At 36.3% G+C, this 15,294-nt stretch overlaps 1 protein-coding gene across 1 annotated transcript in view; it reads left to right on the top strand.

Annotated features, from left to right (window-relative positions):
* The window catches only part of VWA8 (von Willebrand factor A domain containing 8), a 394,275-nt gene that overhangs the window by 247,020 nt on the left and 131,961 nt on the right, over positions 1 to 15,294 (top strand). The window contains exons 27-29 of the mRNA NM_015058.2: positions 10,679 to 10,787; positions 12,560 to 12,698; positions 14,820 to 15,019. Coding sequence (NP_055873.1) covers positions 10,679 to 10,787; positions 12,560 to 12,698; positions 14,820 to 15,019 — 448 coding nt within the window. The remainder of the gene's footprint in view (positions 1 to 10,678; positions 10,788 to 12,559; positions 12,699 to 14,819; positions 15,020 to 15,294) is intronic.

Raw genomic sequence — 15,294 nt, 5'->3', positions numbered from 1 at the left:
GTAATGTTACCATCCAGAAATAGCCATTGATGATCCTTCTAGACTTTTTCCTGTGACTGTATGTGTTATTTCATGCACTGAAAAATATTTCTTTCTAATTATTTTTATTTTCTTGAGTCTTTCTTTTTGACATAATAGAAGAGATATTCCAGGAGTTCTTCTTAAGACACTTCATTCACAAGCTAATTTGTTGGAAAGAAAGTTATCAAAAATAAATTTATTTAATTATGTCTAACACTTCTTTCCCATCTCTACTTTTTCTCCATTTCCCTCATTCCTTGAAATTGTAAACTTATTTTTTCTAAACATAATGAACAAGATTCATAAAGTATATGAGATGTTCTCATCAGGATTAAAAACATTAGTATCAGTGCTTTGTGTCTTTATGCATAGGTTTAAATGTCATCATCCTTTTCAGACATATAAAAATGCTCTTGCCAGATAAACTGCACATCTAAAAATAACTGTGATATGAGACTGTACTTTAAAAGTGTCCTGTAGCTGGAAAGGATGCCCTAATGAAGTCTTGTAGTTACTCCTCAGATTTCCTGTTGTTATGCATTTTCTTCCTGCCTTCTAATGCTTTAATTAAAATTTTTTACATTTTGTGTTTCAGGCAAAATAAGGTAACTTTGAATTAACACGTTCTAAGACCATAATAGCCAATATTTTTATTAAATATAATAGGTTCACTTTTTAAACTATTTCAGAACACAGGGATAGCTGTTTGTAGTGGTTGTTTTTGAGAGAGGCCCTAGAAAGAGAAAAGGATGCATCACATTTAGTAATATTTTAATTTTCTAACACATGTATTATTTTCTACATTTTATTTGTAAAATGTCTATTGACTCTCCGGACACTGGAATTTTTCATTTTGTCCTCTTATTTAAATGAAAATTTTAAAGGCCTGTGCTGAAATTGCTGTTTCTTAGAACCTTTGCCTCCAGTACAGCAAAGCTTATACCACACAGCAGTGCCTACTCTAATGGCAGAACATTGGCACTTTTGCCAACGGCAAGTGAAAAATCAAGTTAACTAGGCATTTCTATGGCATTTTAACCAGAAGTTAAACCTACCAATGCATAAGTAAGTTTATGCATTGGTAGGTGTCAACATAAACATATCAAGTGAGGGTAGACAACACATTTTTAAAGCAGCAAAAATAAAAATAGTTGACATTTATCAAGTCTTTATTAAGTGCTCTAAGCACTTTACAAATGTTAGCTCATCTAATCTACATTACAATATTGTTTTTTCTATTAAGTAATTTTTTTCTATTATCTATTAGGTTTTGGGGTATGTACATTTGTGTGTTTGAATCTGTTTTACAGATTAAAAAACGGAAATTCAAGAGACCTTAAATAAATTCTACAACCAATAAGTGATAGAACGGGGCATTCAACCACAGATCTCTCTGATTCCAAACATCATCTTTATGTTTAGTCAACTGTTTTCATGGGAAAAGCCATGCAATACAACATTAGATATGGAGATTTCAAAGATAATGGAAGCTTTAGAGTTGTCTTTCAAATTCTATTTTCTACCATTTGGAAACATGGATCAGATATTTGCATTGAGGACTAGGCCTATTCTTTTAATTACAGTTTTCCTCATATTAATGTTATTTGTCATTGATTCCAGGAATTAATAAACACATCCCTTCTATAAAATCTGAGCAGATTATCTTAAATCTTTTTTTATTGATACATAATATTTTACATATTTATGGAGCACATGTGAGTATTTGTTACATGCATGAAATGTATAATGATCAAGTCAGGGTATTTGGGGTATCCATGTCCTTGAATATTTCTCATTTCTATGTGTTGGTGTCATTTCAAGTACTGTTTTCTAGTTACTTTGAAATATACAAAATGTTATTGCTAAGTATAGTCACTCTAGTCTGCTATCAATCATTAGAACATATCTCTTCTACCTAACTGTATTTTAGTACCCATCAACCAACCTCTCTTCATAAGCCCCTCCCACCCACTCAACCTTCCCAACCTCTGGTATCTATCATTCCATTCTCTATGTCCATGAGGTAAGTTTTTTAGCTCCCACATATGAGTGAGAACATGTAGTATTTGTATCCTAAATCTTTTCTCCTGCAATAAGGATTTGCTTTTGCTTTAAAAAAAAAAAAAGTGTTTGCATTAACAAATTCTTCAAAATGAATAGAACAATTCTTTTTAAAATTTCTTTTTTTTTTGTTTGAGACAGAGTCTCGCTCTGTCGCCCAGGCTGGAGTGCAGTGGCATGATCTCGGCTCACTGTAAGCTCCGCCTCCCAGGTTCACACCATTCTCCTGCCTCAGCCTCCCAAGTAGCTGGGACTATAGGCACCCGCCACCACGCCCCGCTAATTTTTTGTATTTTTAGTAGAGACGGGGTTTCACCGTGTTAGCTAGGATGGTCTCGATCTCCTGACCTCGTGATCTGCCCGCCTTGGCCTCCCAAAGTGCTGGGATTACAGGCATGAGCCACCATGCCCGGCCTGAAATTTCTTTTATAAAAATCCTTTACTTAGTACTATGATCTTCAAAATTACGATCATTAATATAATCACTTTAACAGATTAATCATAAATCCCTGTGCATTACCTGTGTACCTGTAAGTTGCTATTAAGTCATTACAACTTAGAGTAGGCTTCCTTTGGGGGGCTAATAGCTCCTATATTCATTCAAAGAAGGAATAGACTACTGAGGACAAAGAGAAGGTGTACTTTCTGTAGATTGGGTTCAAACAGATCTGGACAAACCTTTTTGGGGAGGCACTTGAGAGGATTCAGACTTAGAACAATGAATTAAATAGTCCTTAACGTCCTTCCAACTCATAGCTTCTGTCATCTACTGTCCCTAATTGAATAGGGAAGCCAAATAAGTAGTAACTTCCTTCCCTTATATCAGAGATGTAACCCTTACTTTTGATGCATCAACATATTTTAGTATTACCCCTGATGAAAGTAGCTGAGATTGTGTTTTCATTTGTGTGTACTGCAGTGTGTGTTACAGGATTGTACTTAGTATTTATCTTTTCAGAGCAGTGCCAGATGTGCATATTTGCAGACAGAAAGCTTCATCTCTTTTGAATTTGCCCTTGAAAGGACATCTGCCTAGAATCGGTTTTCTGCTTTAAAAATTTACATAGTTGTGCCATCAATAGCAGCTGCTACTTCTCTAACAAAGAACAACTATGGAGTCTTCAAAGTATCAGAGGCATCAAAAAGAACATCCCCCTGCCAGGGCCTCTCTTTGGAATACGTTTATTAGATTCTCTTTGAAAGTCAGAATGATTATCAGTTTACTGTTTATCCAACTAACATAAAATATTCTTTGTTTAAAGTTTTGTGCCTTTCTTTCATTTTCCCGAATTATTATATGTCATAATTTTCTTTTTGTAGTCATAGTTTTTTCAAATAAGTTCATGGTGTTGATCGTGGAGTTCTAAGGTGTACAATTCCACTCTGAATGACTATTTAATTTCATTTCAGAAAAGAGCTGTTTGTTTCAAAAATGATAAAGTCTACTTAATGACATCTCAAAAGTGCCATAAGCAGAAGAGTGGTGATGAGTTTTATATTGTCATAGTCTTTGCCTTATATTCTCTTGGCATATTATGAAGTAGCTTCACAGCCATTCCATTTGCTTTTAGCTCATTTATGGGGATACAAAACGAATCTACATAGAAATTTTCAAGATCTATGAATCTTCTCTCATGCATGCAGTAGCACAGAATGATTCTGGATCCCTTAAGCATTTAAAAGTGATGTTTTATGAAAGCCTGTCTCCCAGCTGAATAGAAATCACCAATCCCCACCTGTAGCTATCGTTTCTAAATATACCTGCAAAGTAGAGTGCATCATTTGTTGAGTCTTGTAAGTGAAGGAAATGGTTGACATGTAATCAGAATGCAAAGGGAAAATTTACCATAGTAGTTTGCAAATTGCCGTTGAGATGAGAAACAAGTAGGTCAAAATGTTGGCAGTTATAATATAACCAAGCATTCTTTCATTTACCAGACGCTTACTTAGTGGTAAACAACATATAGGGAGTATGAATTATAAAGGTGACGAAGACTCATTATCTGCCTTTGAAGCGATCACAATTAATTGGGAAAGCTGTCAAGTGAAAGACTGACTTGTAGCCAGGAGTGGTGGTGCATGTTTGTAGTCCCAGCTACTCAGGAGGCTGAGGCAGGAGGATTCCTTGAGCCCATAAGTTCAAGGCTGTGGAGCACAATGATTGCACCTGTGAATAGCCATTGCACTCCAGCTGGGCAACATAGCTAGACCCTGTTTCTTAAAAAAAAAAAAAAAAGAGAGAGAGACAGAGAGACAGAGTGACTCATGTGAAGTTAGAGCCACACAAGAGGGAACCAAGACTCAGGATTGCAGCCATCTGCCCTGGGGAAGAGTCAGTGAAGATAGAGAGGCTGAATCATTAAATTATTCTCCAGGCAAATAAAGAAGGGAAGAACACTGGAGACATTTTAAGAAAATATGGTGCATTTTGGAAATTAGAGGCCCTTTGGCAACTAACTCAGGGTTAAATGAGAGCATGCTGAGTGGTGAGGCTGAAAGGAAGAGATCAGAGTTTCAATCAGAGAACAACATGGTTACCTTTCTAATTTAAAAAGACTCCTTTTTGGTTTTCTAAAGGTAATAAACTGAAAGGCGGTGAACCTAAAGGCAGGAAGACCTGTTGCAAAGCAGTTGCAGTAACCCAGGTGATGAAGAATGAGGCCCACATTGTGGCCGTGGCAATGAAAAAGAGGTACAACAGCGAGAGAGGATTAGGTGGCAGAACTGATGGATTCTGAATACTAGAGATCCAAATGAGTAATATGTAAGGCTTACTCTCGATGCATTAACACTCTAGTAAGGAAAACATGTAAAACTACCAACCTTATTATGCAATGTTATATTCAAAGTGCTATATTCATAGTAGAGTTTTCATTCCGTGAGTCCTTGTGAGAAATACAGGAAATTTTTCTCTGGGAAAGTTTTCAACAACTGGGAGAGTTTCAGTCCCAGTTATTCTTGTCGTGGACGATTAGAAAAGGAAAGAACATAAGATTAGAAAATACTAAGATGCAACTGATAAAGCAGATGGCAGAAAGAGAGAAGACTTTTTTTCAGTGAAATGTGAAGAAAGATGAAGGAAAGGAAACCCTGGCCCCAGAACTAGTCTGGCAACTTCTGTGAGGAGGAAGAGAGCCAGAGATGTGTGGAGCAAGCTGACAACATCTGCTTTGGCTCTGAGTGACGCTGGGCAACAGCACTAAACTACAGTGTCATTCTGGGTATCGGGGAGTATATTTGAGAAGTGCCTGCCAAGAATAGCAAATTTCCCAAAATCTTCCATCTCATACATCTAGATTACTCTGCATTTCTGTGATCTCTGCAGGACCTAGGTGGGAGAGGTATACAAGTCTAAGTTATGAAGTGGAAGCCATAATAGCTAAATGCAGAACCAAGCACAGAAAGAGAAAATATGTACAAATACTCAGGTATACATCATTTGCAGCAAAGCCAAATTAATTTACCAACATCCTGTGAGATGGTAGGGAAGCGACATTCTGAAGTTTCTAGCAAATAAAGGAAGATATTACTGGGAATTAATAATGGTATCCATTGTTACTAATTTCAAGTATGTAAAGGGGCATTTGTATTATCTCTCTTTAATGTGCTGGCTTTTTCTTTTAGTACATACAAATTTTTTTTTTTTAAGACCAAATTTCGCTCTTGTTTCCCAGGCTGGAGTGCAGTGGCGCGATCTTGGCTCACTGCAACCTCTGCCTCCCGGGTTCAAGCAATTCTCCTGCCTCAGCCTCCCAAGTAGCTGAGATTACAGGCATGCGCCACCACGCCTGGCTAATTTTTTTTGCATTTGTGGTAGAGACGGGGTTTTTCCATGTTGGTCAGGCTGGTCTCGAACTCCCGACCTCAGGTGATCCGCCCGCCTCGGCCTCCCAAAGTGCTGGGATTACAGACGTGAGCCACTGCACCCGGCCCCATGTAAAAATATTTTAAGGGATTTCTTGGTTTACTTCTGACCTGCTCTCTCTAAAATTTTTTCTCTCTCAGGTCTTTAATGTGAAAATTACAGATTCTATAGAAATTTATTCTAAGAGTTTCTAGGAGTTTTGTATGTATAAATTTATGTGGAAACCCAGAAGTGTAAGGAATTCATTTTTCCCAGAAAGGAATATAGGGGAGTGGGGAGTAATGCAAGGGGGAGTGACATTTGAATTGGCACTTGGGAATAAGAAGGATTTCACCAAGGAGGCCAGAGCAGAAAGGAATTCTAGGCAGAGGTAATGGCCTCCTGGAAGCATGAAAATGCATAGCATATTCAGGAATAGCAACTAATAGTTTGAGGTGGCTGAGACTGAAAGGAAGGGATAAGCACAAAGCCAGAATTATTAGTCAGGGCTATTCCATGAAAGGCTCCAGTGAACTTTGTTGGACAACTCAACTTAATTTTTGCCAGAAATTAGATTTAAAACATCAGGAATGAGTGAGGCCTGCTAAAATTGGAGTTGTTATTTTTCTTCTCAAAGATGGTAGTAATTGTTGAATTTTTGAGAGTTGTTGGAACAGCCCTGAAGGGTTCCATTATTCCCATGAAAATTAGTAGTTCTTGTGGTAAGGAAATGTTTTCGGAATTGTTGATAATAGGTATGTCAACAACTTCCAATTGCATAATGCCCCTAGAAAGATCCAAATCTTTTGCATGTGTTTTCTTTCATATTCCAAAAATAGTATTGGCAAATGTTCAGAGAAGGCAGAAATTTGCCAGAACATACTCTTTAAAACCCAGCTCACCTCTTTATGGAAGCAATCTTAGACAAATCTGTTGCATGTCATTCAGACTATATAGTACTTGGCTTTGGTGTCCATATGCATCATGTTATGAATTGTATGTGTGTTTTTTAAAAAAAGAAAACCTTTTTTGTTCTTTCTGTAACTTGCTCAAATACTATAATTTGACCTGAGTCATAATTATGATACTCACCTTTCTTTTAGTCCAAACTTTTACTTCCAGATCCTTATTATCATTTCCACAAGGGATTAAGAAATGACAAACATAGGAACTGAAATATTTCACTGTTTTAAAAAAACATAAATTCATGAATGACATTGCAGATAAAAAGTAGTGCTATTTATGGGCCTTAAGTTCCTTCTCCTTCCCCATGAAATCAAATCCACACATCTTTCCAGCTAGGACTTTAACAAAGTTAAACAATACAAGTGACAAAGTCTTAAAGCCATGGAAAATGCCATTATTGTTTTAATCAAATCAGATATTAAAACTTAAGTCTGGTCAGAGTTGGATGACATAGTTCACTAAGGGAATAGAGGGCCTTTTGCTAGCTGGTTATTTAGAGTTTCCCCTAAATTAATGTTGATTATGTTTCAAATTCCAAAGCTTGCTCATTTACCGAAATATAATACAATGCTTCCCCTTTCCCCTGACTACTAACTTACCAAGGGAGAGAAAGTTAGTAATGGTCAAATTTTCCCACAGCTTATTCAGAGGTCTTAGTAGTGGAAAATAAATGAGGGTCTTGGGTTTACCTCAGTTTGGCCAGCCTAGAGCCTACAGTAAAAGTCCGGAAACAATAATACCCCATGTTACCAAGGGACAGGATGGAGTCAGTTTGATTGTGTAACTCCAGGACACCCTGTGTTATGTGTCTTTCAGTTTAGTTATTACTGCCAAATAGCATCATGTTATGTGGTTCTGAAATAGATTCTGTATAGGGTACCTGGAGGTCCTTCCCATACCCTGCCAACCAAACAGCCAGTGCTATTTTTATATAGAGCCAGACAACATATAATTTCCATGACTTACTTAGAATGAGTTGGCAAGTTCAAACCAGATTTTATGAACATGCCTGGCATTGTCAGTAAAATCTGAAAGTTGAGCAAAGTTACTTTTTCTCAAATGGATGAAGGTTTTTTATTTTTTTAAAGCATTTATATGATTGTTTGGTACGGTTTATGAAAGAATATATTAGATCAATTTTTTAGGCTAGGTATCAACCAAAGATTGTTTTAATTAATGATCTCCCCTGAATTAAATTAAATTTCAAGATGTGAAACTGTTTCTGTTGTCTTCAAAGAACCAATTTGGGATGTATTCAGAGCTTGTTTTTATATGCTTTAATAAAGCATGTGTATCTATCAGGGGATCTGTTCTGTTGGTAACTATAGATATTTTCATTCTGATTATTTATTTTCACTTCAGAGTATCAAGACAATGCAAGACTATAAAACTTACCAGTGACACTTCTCTCTACTCTCTTCCTTGATCCTCACAGACTCCCCAAGCTGTAAGGAACTTTACAGATCATTCCCTTCATTTCACAAATGAAGAAATTAATATCAAGCAAAGTCAAAAAGACAAAAAAAGAAAAAAAATTAATACTTAGAGAAAACAATGGACTTTCCCCTTCCCGAGTTTATATAGCAGGTTAATAAAAGAACTAGAACTAAAACCCAAATCTCTTGCAGTCTGTTACATTATGTCTTCTATGCTGGCAGAATATTAAGTGTATCTCCTTCTGTTATTTTTCTGTTTCTACATTTGGAGCCCCAATTCTCCTTTGGTGAACTGCTGAAAGCAAATGTAAAATATAGTTTATTCCCTAAACCAAGAGAGAGATCCCAGTCTATGTTTTCAAGATCTGGCCTATTAACACAGAAATGTATTTTTATTACATTCAAAAGAGAGAACACAGTAATTGTAAAACCCTTTATTCCCCTAATTCAGTACCCTCCCCCGACCCCCTGCACACACACATTCTTTCCTGGTAAAAAGATGGAAGTAAGTGGGTCCCCGATTGAGATAATTGTACAGATACTTAAAATATATTTTAGATGATAGATTCAAAAGTGTGTGTGTGCTTTTGAGAGGTTTATGTCATATGACTTAGAAGAATTTCAATGTAAATTTCTTTTTAATTTCGTTCCTCTTGTGATAAACATTAGCATTCAAAAGGGACGAAAAGCATATTCTACTAGAATGTTTGCTTCCATTATTTTATGCAAAAAATATCTTAGCCTTACATGATCTTATTAAGCATATGGAAATATTATGTCAGACTACTTTTTACTTTAAATAAAATAATTTCTAAATATAAACGTGTTCTTTTAATGATCATCAAACTCATTCCAAGGATACATTTCAATTTGTAGCCATGTGCATATTATTTTTAAAGAGCTTTTAACTCTGAATCACTAATTTTCTAATGCATTAAATGACAAATCAATGGTTCCTATTTTAAAGACTCAAATAAAAGATAGTATGATTAAAAAGTGAAGACTTGGCTTACACTTGTAATCCCAGCACTTTCGGAGGCTGAAGCAGGAGGATCACTTCAGTCCAGGAGTTTGAGACCAGCCTGGGCAACACAGCAAGACCCTGCTTCTACTAAAAATAAAAAATAAAAAAATTAGCCAGGCATAGTTTTGCATGCCTGTAGTCCCTGCTACTTAGGAGGATGAGGTGGGAGGATCATGAGTCCAGGAGTTCAAGGATGCAGTGAGCTGTGATTGCCCTACTGCCCTCCAGCCTGGGTGACAGAGTGAGACCCTGTCTCAAAGAAAAAAAAAAAAAAGTGAAGACTTAAAAAAAATTATCTGCTGTTTTATACTTTAGTATTGCCATGTTGGTTTTGGCAAATCACCTTATTTGAAAGTCATTTTAAATAAAAGGGAATCTAAATACAGAATGATTCCATCAGAAATCAGCATTTAGCTCCCTTGGTGGATTAGTGCTGAAAGTGGCCCCACAGGTGCTTCTGGATGCCAGTAATGCTCTACCTCTTTGGGTACTTGTTACACATGTGTGCAGAGCTGACATTTATGTGGACATTTTAGTATGTATTTTATATTTTAATTCAAAGTGAAAAAAATTAAGATGCCAAAATAAAGTCTATGAAACTTGCCCTATACAACATACAAATGTGGGACTAGTAGTATGGTGTACTCTTCATTATTTGATTCCAAATTTAAAAGAATTGTCTGGGCACGGTGGCTCATGCCTGTAATCCCAGCACTTTGGGAGGCCAAGGCGGGCAGATCACCTGAGGTCGAGACCAACCTGAGAAACCCCGTCTCTACTAAAAATACAAAATTAGCCGGGTGTGGTGGCGCATGCCTGTAATCCCAGCTACTCAGGAAGGCTAAAACAAAAGAATTGCTTGAACCCAGGAGGCAGAGGTTGTGGTGAGCCGATATCACACAACTGCACTCCAGTCTGGGCAACAAGAGTGAAACTTCGTCTCAAAAAAAAAAAAAAAAATAGACTGAAAAAATTGATAGATTGCTCCAATTTTAAAGAAAAGTTTTCCTATACTCTACCAGAAATTTAGATGTTCAATTACTGCAATTCAAAGGAGTATGTATGTAAATCAATTGTATTTGTCATTAAGGTAAAAACAGGACCTTGCCTTACCTTCTTAGTTTCTGAAATGCGAGATCTTTTTTGTCTTAAAGTATATTTTAAACATGATTTTATACACTGTCGTTTAATAAAATGATGTATAACTCACTTCTAAGTAAAGCACTCTTCAAATTTATTTGTGTGGTTGATAATAGATGCCGTGTTATTTTTTTCTATGACTTGGGTACAATAAGAAATATTTACTTTGCAAATCATCCTTAACAGGTTGACTCTGCCAGAACAAACGTTCATGGGCTACTGGACAATTGGTCAGGCAAGAAGTGGGATGCAAAAACTCTTGTGTCCAGTGGAAACTCATCATATAGACATAAAGGTTGATATCATCATTATTCTCTCTTAAAATATTGAACCTTATAAATTTTGCTGTATCTTCCCTGGAGATAATTCAAACAATCTCAGAAATGATTTGTTCGGATGTTATTTTAGCTTCTGCTCTAACTTTCAAATCAGGCTGGCCTCTCAGTTGATAATTCCTAAAGGCTAAATAGAATTTCTAAAGAGCTAATTGGATGATGAGAGTCAGGTATGTTACATATTTTCCTAGGAAAGTTGCTCTGTGGTATTTGTCTTGTGCTGATAGGATTAAAACTTTGTGCATTTTGATTTTTGGCCTCTTTTTAGCCACACATTGTTGCCAGGTTCAGTCTTCATGTGAAAGTAAAGTAAAGAACTGTCCGTTACTAGTTGTAATAGAAGTCCCTCTAGGTATTTCAAGCAGAAAGGAATTTACTGTGAGAAAGTAGATGCTTGTAAAATCATTAGAAAGGGCAGCAGGAACAGAAGTTGAGGGGCAACACTGGACTTGTAATTTCAAGATCAGTATTTCTGCTTCTGCTGTCATCCCTGCTGCTGAGGGCAGCACAGTAGAGCAGTGTCAGCAAACATTTTCTCTAAAGGACCACAGAGTCAATATTTTAGGCTTTGTGGCCCTACAGATTCTGTTGCAACCACTCAACTCTGCCGTATAGTGCAAAATCAGCCATGGCAGTACGTAAACAAATGGAAGTGGCTGTGTTTCACCAAAATTTTATTTACAAAAAAAACAGGCTGTGGATCAGACCTGGCCTGGAGGCCATAGTTTGTCAACCCTTACAGTAGGACAAAGTGAAACACACCCAGACATGTGGTAATCCAACTGTTCATTTTTGTCAGAGCCTCCTTGTCTGCTATCACTGCAGGAAGATGGCCACTACCTCTTTTCTGCCTTCCAAATCTCATTCAAGTGCATTTAATTGGCAAAACCTAAATCATTTCCAGAACCCTTTTTAAAGAGAGTATGAGAAATGCAGTTTCTTACTCCCTAGCCCTCAAGATATAGACTAGATAGAAGAGGGGTGGTGGGCGGGGGACATGGATGCCAATATCTAGTCCAAACATTTTTGATTAATTAAGGACTGTAGGGCATGCAAATCACTGGTTTTTGCTTACATTTATAGCATTCTTTCAAGAAGTCATATCTAAGTACCCAGAACTAATATTCTTAACATTATTAAATTAGCTCCTCTGCTTATATTTATATTGAATAATTATCACCATGTGTGAAATACTCTATCCTTCATAAGTCACCACTAGTGGTTATCAGTAAGTTTGGTTTTTTAAAAAATTTCAAATGCCACATGTTTTGCATTTAATTTAAAATACCCAGGTTTAACCATTACATTTCTGTGTAATGACATAAAAATCCTTCTTCACAATGGAAATGCATCAGGCTCTGGCTCATTCATTTGCGAATTATTCTCCTGGTTTGGACAGCTCTGCGTCCTGATACTTGGAGTTCAAAACTGGCTCTCGCCTTAGGAAGGAATGAAGAAATGAGAAATGCTATAGGATTTTACATCTGGTATATTTTGTGAGTAAAAAGAAAAAATGAGAAATTAAATAAGATAGCACATGTGAAAGCATTTATAAGTGCAAGTGTGTGATACTATTACTGTTATGAGTACTAAGCCTGTCAATAAATTGAAAAAAGGTATAGCAGGATATTAAATACTTGAATGTTAAAGTTTATATTTTGGAAGAACTTTAGCTTTTCTACATTTTGGTGACAACCAAAATATCTTAACTGAGATAACTGCTTTATTATAGGGTCCAGCACTTATAAATATACAGGAGTATCCAATAGAAAGACATGAAGAAAGATCCCTAAACTTTACTGAAGAATGTGCCTCATGGAGAATACCATTGGATGAAATTAATATAATCTGTGACATTGCTACATCACATGGTATGTCTGCTTATTCTTTTGATCTTTCCTTCCTGCACATGTTTTTTTAAAAGATGGATTAAAATAATCTCTAGACATCAAAAAGTTTATGATAGACTTGGTGTCTGTCATTCTTGGATTGGATAGCAATTATATGTAATTTAGAACTAATTTCCTCTAACAACCTAAAAAAATGCTATTGTGGAATCCACATAAGCACTCCTGAGTTTGTATGCATATGTCTGTTTCTCATTACAATTGTAGCACAAAGTTAAACACACCCAGGCATGTGCTAAAAATAGAAGGGAAAAATAAAAAGGAGAAACATTGGGTTTTTTGGCTGGGATTCCAGTTTGGTGATTACATGAACCATGAAAGTAGGGCTGGAGTGATTTGCAGTCATTAAACTTCTAATTGTAAAGGATGGCAAATAAAGAATGTGAATTTTTGGCATCCACACTTCTGGACTGTTGCCATTACCTACTGATTCATGCAGTGGACCCTGGGTACATTTTGGCAGAAGTTCCTCAACTGCTGTCAGTTACTAAGGTGATAAAAACAGAAGTGGTGGCTGGGGGAAGGGAGAGAGTCTCTAACTTGATAAGATGAGAATTGTTGAGACAAAAATTGGTATCTTGTCTTTATGCCTATAAGTTCTATTGATGTAGTTTATTCCACAAATCTGCTATTTTAAATAAAAATATGTGCTTTTAAAAATTTACAGTTTTTCTTAAATTGGTAAAAGATAAATATAAATCTTGTATCTGTATGTTTAAGACAAAGACTGAACTGCATTTAATGCCTGCAAAAAGAGAAAACAGTTAAAGAGTTTATTAAGTACATTTCTGTTAACACTTTTACTGTATTCCCAGTGCCCTATATTATGCCATAAATGTTGAATAGAACTTATTTGTGTTGATAATGGAAGCATTATGAAAGATCCATAAATTATAAATTCTGTGGTTCTATCTGATAATTGAAACTAACATCTACAGTTTGCATTGTCTCCTAAAAAAATAGGTCTTTTTCAGTCCTTCTGTTGACTTGTGTTTCTTATCAGTTCACTTATTTATTTAAATTTACTGTATCTTTATATATAATATGTGTGATATGTATAATATATCATTATATATAATAAATAGATATGATGCATACACACACAGACACACATAGTGTTCCAGATTTTCCAGGGTAGTCCCAAATTTAAATGACGTATCTTATTGTCATATCTCATGTCTTAATTTGGGGTTTGGAAAATATGACTGTTGTAAAATAGATACCTGGGTGATAGGTGATGCTGATACCATTCATTATGCAAAAGTAGCTTAATCCCTTGCTTCAGCGGTGCCCACATAAGAGATTATGAGAAACTTAGTCCAGAGCCTGGCTACTCAAAAGGGAGGATCTCAAACCAGCAGCATTAGCCTCTCCTGGGAGTTTGCTGGAAAGGCAGAATCTGAAACCCCACCCCAAACCTCCTGAAGCAGAGTCTGCAGTTTTATTAGATCCCCAGGTGATTCATAGGCACTTGAAATTTGAAGAAGCACTGACTTCTTCAAATGGAAGGAAATGGACTTAGGTACCCAGATTGAAAAGACAGAGATTTTATAGTAAGAAATACTCAAATATGAACAAAAATTTGGAAAATAAGATCCATAGAGCTAAGATTTTTTAAATGGAATTACTTATTTACAGCAAGAAGATCTTAAAGAGCTAGTAACTATCTGGAAAATGCAAGATTAGCAGATAGAAGACATTGACCAACTGGTGTCCATCTGAACCAACAAGAGAACAGACCTTCACTGTAGCACTAAGCACGTTACTGTCATACAAGGAAGAATTTCCTGACATTGAGGATTGTTTAATATTTAATGGTTTTATCACAAGATATTATGACATTCTTTGGGGAACAAATAGATAACCAATTTTTTCAAGTAGGTAGGTGTGACCTTATCTACATTTAGGGTCAAAACTAAGTTGTTTCTCATGGTCTTTTCAGCCTAATCAAGCCATGATACAAATCATCTGCTGAGTTCCAACTCTGTTCCAGCTGTGTATTCATGATTCAGTTTTCACTAGACCTCTTGGCCAATTAGAGAATTGGTTGCCAGCCACAAAATTAACACCTTTTTGTCATTTCAGAAAATGAGCAAAATACTCTCTATGTAGTTACATGCAATCCCGCTTCCCTGTACTTTATGAATATGACTGGGAAAAGTGGCTTCTTTGTGGACTTTTTTGATATCTTCCCAAGAACAGCCAATGGCGTTTGGCACCCTTTTGTGACAGTGGCACCGCTGGGAAGTCCTCTCAAAGGTCAAGTGGTTCTCCATGAGCAGCAGGTAATGCACACCAGGCTACAATTATGTGAGGAATGACTTACATGAAAGGCAAGAGTGATTAGAAACCTATAACTGAAAAGATGTGCTTTCATGATGATCAAGGAGAGGAGCTGGAGGGATGGGTCAGGAGTTGCATTTTATCAGTACTACAAAGGCAGGCTAATATCTTCTTTTCTCTAGAGACTTCAACATGACCTATACCTCTAGAAACAGGTAAGTCAGGGTTTTTCAACCTCGACACTATTGACATCTGAGGTCAGATGATTCTTTGTTAT

This window comes from Homo sapiens, chromosome 13 (assembly GCF_000001405.40).
Source record: "Homo sapiens chromosome 13, GRCh38.p14 Primary Assembly".
Classification (NCBI taxonomy): Eukaryota; Metazoa; Chordata; class Mammalia; order Primates; family Hominidae; genus Homo; species Homo sapiens.
Note: the sequence above shows the minus strand (reverse complement) of the source record. Positions and strands in the feature narration are given on the sequence as shown.